The sequence below is a fragment of the Homo sapiens genome, chromosome 18, assembly GCF_000001405.40.
Source record: "Homo sapiens chromosome 18, GRCh38.p14 Primary Assembly".
NCBI classification, from domain to species: Eukaryota; Metazoa; Chordata; class Mammalia; order Primates; family Hominidae; genus Homo; species Homo sapiens.
In genome coordinates this window covers 28718706-28725097 of record NC_000018.10, presented here as the reverse complement: position 1 = coordinate 28725097, position 6392 = coordinate 28718706, and the positions used below count along the sequence as shown (strand labels likewise).

At 37.2% G+C, this 6392-nt stretch overlaps 1 long non-coding RNA gene across 1 annotated transcript; it reads left to right on the top strand.

The window, feature by feature from the left end:
* The first annotated feature begins 339 nt into the window (after positions 1-339).
* Positions 340-5963, top strand: LOC105372043 (uncharacterized). Its single transcript, XR_935326.2, has 3 exons — positions 340-418; positions 3449-3590; positions 5741-5963. It is a non-coding gene; the product is annotated as an uncharacterized LOC105372043 (long non-coding RNA).
* The last annotated feature ends 429 nt before the right edge of the window (positions 5964-6392 follow it).

Sequence of the window (6392 nt, the reverse complement as noted above, 5' to 3'; positions counted from 1 at the left end):
AATTATAATACGTGACATTTCTATAACATTTATTTTGTGTTGAATATTGTCTTAAGTGTTGTCTTTCTCTCTCTCCCCCTCCCTTCTTTTATTCCTCCCCACAACTCTTTTTTTTTTTTTTTGAGATGGAATCTCACTCTTTCACCCAGGCTGGAGTACAGTGGCAGGATCTCCACTCACTGCAACCTCCACCTTCCGGTTTCAAGCAATTCTCCTGCCTCAGCCTCCCAAGTAGCTGAGATTACAGGCGCCTACCACCACACCCAGCTAATTTTTGTATTTTTAGTAAAGACGGAGTTTCACCATGTTGGCCAGGCTGGTCACAAACTCCTGACCTCATGATCAACCTGCCTTGGCCTCCCAAAGTGCTAGGATTACAGGCATGAGCCACAACGTCCGGCACCCACAACTCTTTAAGGTAGGTGCTCAGTGGCCAATTTTAAAGATCTAAAAACTGAGTCACAGAGAAGTTATATAATTTGTCTGAGGTTTTACTCTCCATAAGTCATAGACTTGGGACTTGAATTCACAAAACCTGGTCTAAGGATTCTTAACTTTACCTTATTGTCTCTATTCTTAACTTTACCTTATTGTCTATTTAGAGAGATATAATGAGTCATAAATGGCATAAAGATGAATGAAGCAGGACACAGAGAGAGACAGTTGTAGGAGGAATGGCATGAGGAATACAGTTTTACTTGTTTTAGTGGTTTCCAGAACCTTCTGGCCAGGTGTGGTGGCTCACATTTGTAATCCCAGCACTTTGGGAGGCTGAGACAGGTGAGTTGCTTGAGCCCAGAAGTTCAAGACCAGCCTGAGTAACATGGCAAAACCCCATATCTACAAAAAAACACAAAAGTTAGCCTAGTGTATGTGCCTATAGTCCCAGTTACTCAGGAGGCAGAGCTGGGAGGATAACTTGAGCCCTGGAGGTCGAGGGTGCAGTGAGCCATGATCACGCCACTGCACTCCCACCTGGATGACAGAGCAAGACGTTGTCTCAAAAGAAAGAAAGGGGAAAAAAAGGTCTGCAAATTATTTGATACTCCTCCTTCCAAGAGGAGGTGGTTAATTTCTCTCTCCTTGAGTAACAGTTGGATTTAGTATTCCACCAAGTAGAATAAAATGAAAGAGAAGGTGTGCTGACTTCCAAGATTAAGTTATAAAGAGCATTGAGGCTTCCTTTTTATTCTGTCTTCACCCACTCATCCTGGGAAAAGCCAGCTACCGTGTTTTGAAAATATGGAATCATCCCTGGATTGTCGATTTGATGATCAGAGGTCTTCTGAAGACATCCAGCATTGATTTGCTAGGACTTTGAGGGAGCCTCCTTAGAATTTGGTACTTCAGCTCCAGTCAAGCCTTCAGGTGACTACCTTCCTGGCTGACAACTTAACTGAAACCTCTGAGTCAGAACCATCAAGCTAAGTTGCTTTCAGATTCCTTACCCACATAAACTATGTAAGATAATAAGTATTTATTATGTTAAGCCACTGAGTTTTGGGGTTTTTAAAAAGCAATAGGAATCAGTTTTCTATTTTAAATAGCTATAGAAAACTAATAGGGCAGTCAAGAAAAGGTTCTTTTGTGAGGCAACATTAGACCAGACATTTCATCAAGTTAAGAAGCAAACAATCAGTATGATTTAAGGAAAAGATTTTAAGCATTGAGAAAAAAAAAACTTGTACAGTACAAAAACTTTGAGCACATTTGTTATGTTCAAGAAACTGTAAGTTGGCCTATTTGGCTGGAATACAGACAAAGAGAAGAATGGTAGAGGCTGAAGTCAGAAACCAAGGCTTCACTGTGTACTATAGAAGAATCTGGATCTCCCTCTGTCTGTAATATGAATCTGCTAAACGGTTATGAAATGGGAGTGACTATGATTTACTGTGAAAAAGAACACTATAGGTTTTGAGTCAAGAATAGACCATAGCAGAGCAAGGGTAGAATCATGCAGTTCAGTTCACTTAGGAAGCTATTTCAATAACTAACCTAGGTGGGATATGATAGTGGCGTGGACTAGGGTAGTTCTGGTGGAAGTGGTGGGAAAAACAGAGTCAGAATTTGAAGGTACAGAAATTAGGACTTGCTGATAAAGTGGATGAAGATGTATTATGTGGATTCTTTGCCTACCAGTAATTTCGAGGTCCGTGATTCCACTGGGAGAAAGTATTTTGGAACGCCCAGATTTAGAACCCTTGGTTGGAATGTGTAGACACTTGCTTTTCCTTGGGCTTACTAGGAAGAGAATTAAAATATAAGGACAAATAAGAGCAAATGCTCATTTCATTTTTATTTTCTCTTCTTTTGAAGAATGTTATGTCTTCTGGTGAGATAAATGAAAGCTTTCACTCCAAGTCACACTCTTGTAAAATGTGAAATTAAAAGTGAAGACTGTTAATGACATAAAATATTTACCTAGCATTTGTCCTACAGGAGAAGACTGTGGAATTAGCTTGCTCCTCCTTCAAAGTGAGAAACTATGATATTAGCAATGGGATGGCTTTTGACATTGATACACACTCCAATTAGTGTGGTGTGGCAGCTGCGTGGGGCACTTTGCTAAGGAGGGGTGAACTCTTCTCTGGTAGAGTCAGCTCTGCAGGTGGACACTGAAGAATAATACCATGGTTATTGCTACATTCCATGGCTTTTAACGACTGCAACCATATGTAATTTTTTTTTAAATAATCAAAAGCAAACCATCTAGGACAGAGGGAGAAGTGATAAGGGGGGGTGAACATGCAAGTTGGCTGGGCAAGACTTTTATTAGACATTTTTGGAGGGCTTAATTAGATTTGAGCAGGAAGCATCCAAACTCACCTGCCATCAATTTTGGTTTTTACGCAAAAGCTATAAAGTTTTTGTTTTAAAAACAGCACATGGGCCTCTCAGTTTATGATCTGTATTCGTTGCTCCTAACCCTGTCTTCTCCTTATCCTGTAGAGAAGAGACTATCCTAAATATTGAACCTTGGCCCTGGGCTGAGGTACAGGAAGATGCTTAAGACAAGAAAAGATATTCATGAAGTCATGCAGCTAGAAACCCAAGAGATCAGGTTGTGGGTGCTCCTAAATTCTCAGCACTCACCAGCATGTCTAAGATTCCTATATCTCCTGTTTTTACATTAAGACTATTGGTTATGTATTCTATTTCACATCTTTTACCCATTTCCTTTAAAATTATTCAAAGTCATGTAACTTGCTTTGGCATAAGAAAAGTAGTCTGAATCTGAAGTGACATCTAATTTTTACCAGACAGAAGCCTTATGAGCCAATGTGTAATTACCACATTTCCTTTTCCTCCTCTGGTCATTGAAAACACTGGAATTGAGGTAGGCCTTCTTTTAGCCTGACTCTAGATGATTATATTAAGCTCAAGACTTCCATACCCCTCTTTGCTGCACATGTAACATTAGCAAGTAATACACTTTTGCTTGGTTTAGCTGTTTAGACTTGAAGGTTGCTTGTTACTGCAGCATAACCCAGACTAACCTGACTGATGCAGTCAAACCTTGATTAATGAGAAGATGGAAGGGACACTGTAGAACAGGAGAAGGCTGACAGCAGGTTCCAGGATATCCTAAAGTAAGTCCCAGATGGCCAAGGAACTTCAAGGTATAAGGAAACAATTTGTCTATTTCCTTAATAAGGATACTCATCTAGCCACATTCATGCATTTATCTCAAGGAGAGCTATCTGGTGTTTTTTTGTTGTTGTTGCCAGAGCAGCCTCAAAACAATTCCCTGAGAAATAAATTGCCACACATCCATGGGTAAGTTAATGGGAACAACAGGACTCAGGCACCAGTTGCCAAATAGAAGTGTCTTGATTTTTCTGAAATTAAGCAGGCAGACAGAGCATCCTACGCATTTGCATTCATCATTGTTAGAATGATACACATTTTATACTGTTGACATTGCTGGGTTTTGTCAATGTATAAAGCATACAGCTCTATGAATTAACTAACTCTCCTCCCTCAAAGATTTAACTAAGTAAATCACTTACCATGGCCTTCTTTCTATCTGCTTGATTAGCGTGCAGTGAAAAATTGATTGTTGTCAAATCTCATGGTGATTTATTTTTCTCCGGGGTCTACAGAGTGTACTGCTTCCCTGCAGTCAGAATTTTTCTTTTTGGTGGTATACATTTTATGGAACTGGAAACAAAGAATTTATAATACGTAGTTATCCCAGTGATTTCCTTCTTGCTGAACGTCAGAATACCATTGTCTTATCTGTTACTAACAACAGTGTGCCACTGGATAGTTTATGGCAAAAATTATTTTTGTTTCTCCTTTATTCCAGAGTCACTATCATATGGTGAGTAAGCCCACCAACTCTGGAGCTCAACTTCTGGCACTACTACCTACAGGCTCTGTGACTCTGGGCACGTTATTTAACCTTTCTATGTCTCAGTTTCATCAGTTATAAAATAGGAATAGTGATAGTCCCATTTGATAATGTCATTGTGAGGATTATATGTGAACAAATAAAATGCTTAGTTCAATACCTAGAATAAACACTAATGATGTTCACTTTTATTCTTTAATATTTATTTTTTGTTCCCATGAAAAAATCTGTTAATCATATGTGTTGTACCTCTACTTAACATAGAGTAGAAAAGGAAAAATATTACTTTGGGAATATTAGTATCTGAACCTCATGGTTTTGGGAAAAAGAAAATAAAATATACACACTCTTTGAGGCTCTAGGAAAAACACACACACCTATTTACATTATTACACCCTTTTGACTCTAAAAAATAATAAATACTTGAAGTCAGAGATCATATTTTTTCACCTTTGCATCCTTTGCCTGTAAGTAAGCACTATGTACATAAAAAAATAAATATTAATTAAAAAATAAAATGAATACATGAGTACATGACTTCCCCATTTACTTTTAATATCTTAAATGCCCATTGCAATATTGGATCTCAGTGCCTTCGATGGTACTTTAAAGAAATTTCCAAACTGAGCTTCTCATTATCTTGAGAACTTGATAAATGTACAGATTTCGTGGCCCCACTCAGCAAGGATTTGATTTAGTAAGACTAGCATAGAACTTCTGGGTGCATATATTTTATAAGCTCCCTGGGAGATTGACCACCTGTCAGGTTCAGGAGCCATTCTCCTAAGCTCTCTTCCAACTCTGACATTGTATGGTGCTAGGCTTAGCTGAATCTCACTCAAAATATATGTTAAGGTTTTAGAAACTGAATAACTGGTTGGTTTTTAGAAGCAGGCCCAACTGATTAATATGATAATTGGAAATCTATATTGTCTTCTCTTTTTATAACTTCTTACTGTAATATGTTGTTAGATCAAGGAGGGGTAGTTAACTCTAAAAGTCTCTTAGGCATTCTTTTTAATTTTTTTTTCAGAAAACCTTTTACAGATAAAACTATGTGTTCTACTTAATGAGCTCTATGTAAATTATTATCTGGATAAAAATAGCTCTAAAAATCCTGCAGCTTCATTATAAAAAAGGAAGAAGAGTTTGAGTAGTAAAATGATTATTTAGATGACTCGAGTCACCAATGGTTTATTCTTCTACTAAAAAAACAAATAAGTCCAGAGATTCAGACATTTGCCCAGTTTCAGGGTTTGAAAGGCTGCAACCTACAAAGCATACATTTCCTTTGACACATGATTCATAACAAAGTGTTTTTATGCATCATGGCAATCTGTGATCCAATTGTTGTTTCCCTAACTTTTTAATTATTTACCTTTCTAGGCTAAAATAACTCATCAGATTTGGACAGAGTAGAAGGCAAAGGACTATAAGTTCCACGTTCATTATTAGCAGTAAAACTAAGTCTTTGTAACTGAGTTATAAGATTTTTTCACCTGAAAGAGATCATCCAAGGTCAAACAGCAAGCATGTCAGAATGGAAAGGAAAGGTAAAAACAAATGTATATTATTATCTGCTTTAAACTTAGAGCAATAGTTTCTTAAATCTACATAATTCAGAAATTATGAACGAGCCAATCTAAAATATGCCACTGGTATTCTCTATCACAGTCTCTTGATTTTCTGCATACAATTATTACAGCTTATAACTATTTTATTTATTTTCTTTTGTCTTTTTCTCTCTTACTTAGCCACTAAAAATGAACTTATTTAAGGCAGAGAACACATTTTTGTTTTTCCACTGGCATTGAGAATAGCACTTGATACATGATAGCTATTTAAGAAATATTTGTTGAAATAACACATACAAGCTTTTTTGAATACAGCTATGTTCCTAGTACTATACTAGGCTGACTGAGATAATTTGTTTTTTTAATGACTTTGTGAAATAGGGATTAGCTTTATTTTAGAGGAATGGAAATTACAATTCAGAAGGATCTTGTCTAAAATCTCTTGACTTCCAGTCCAGTGTCCT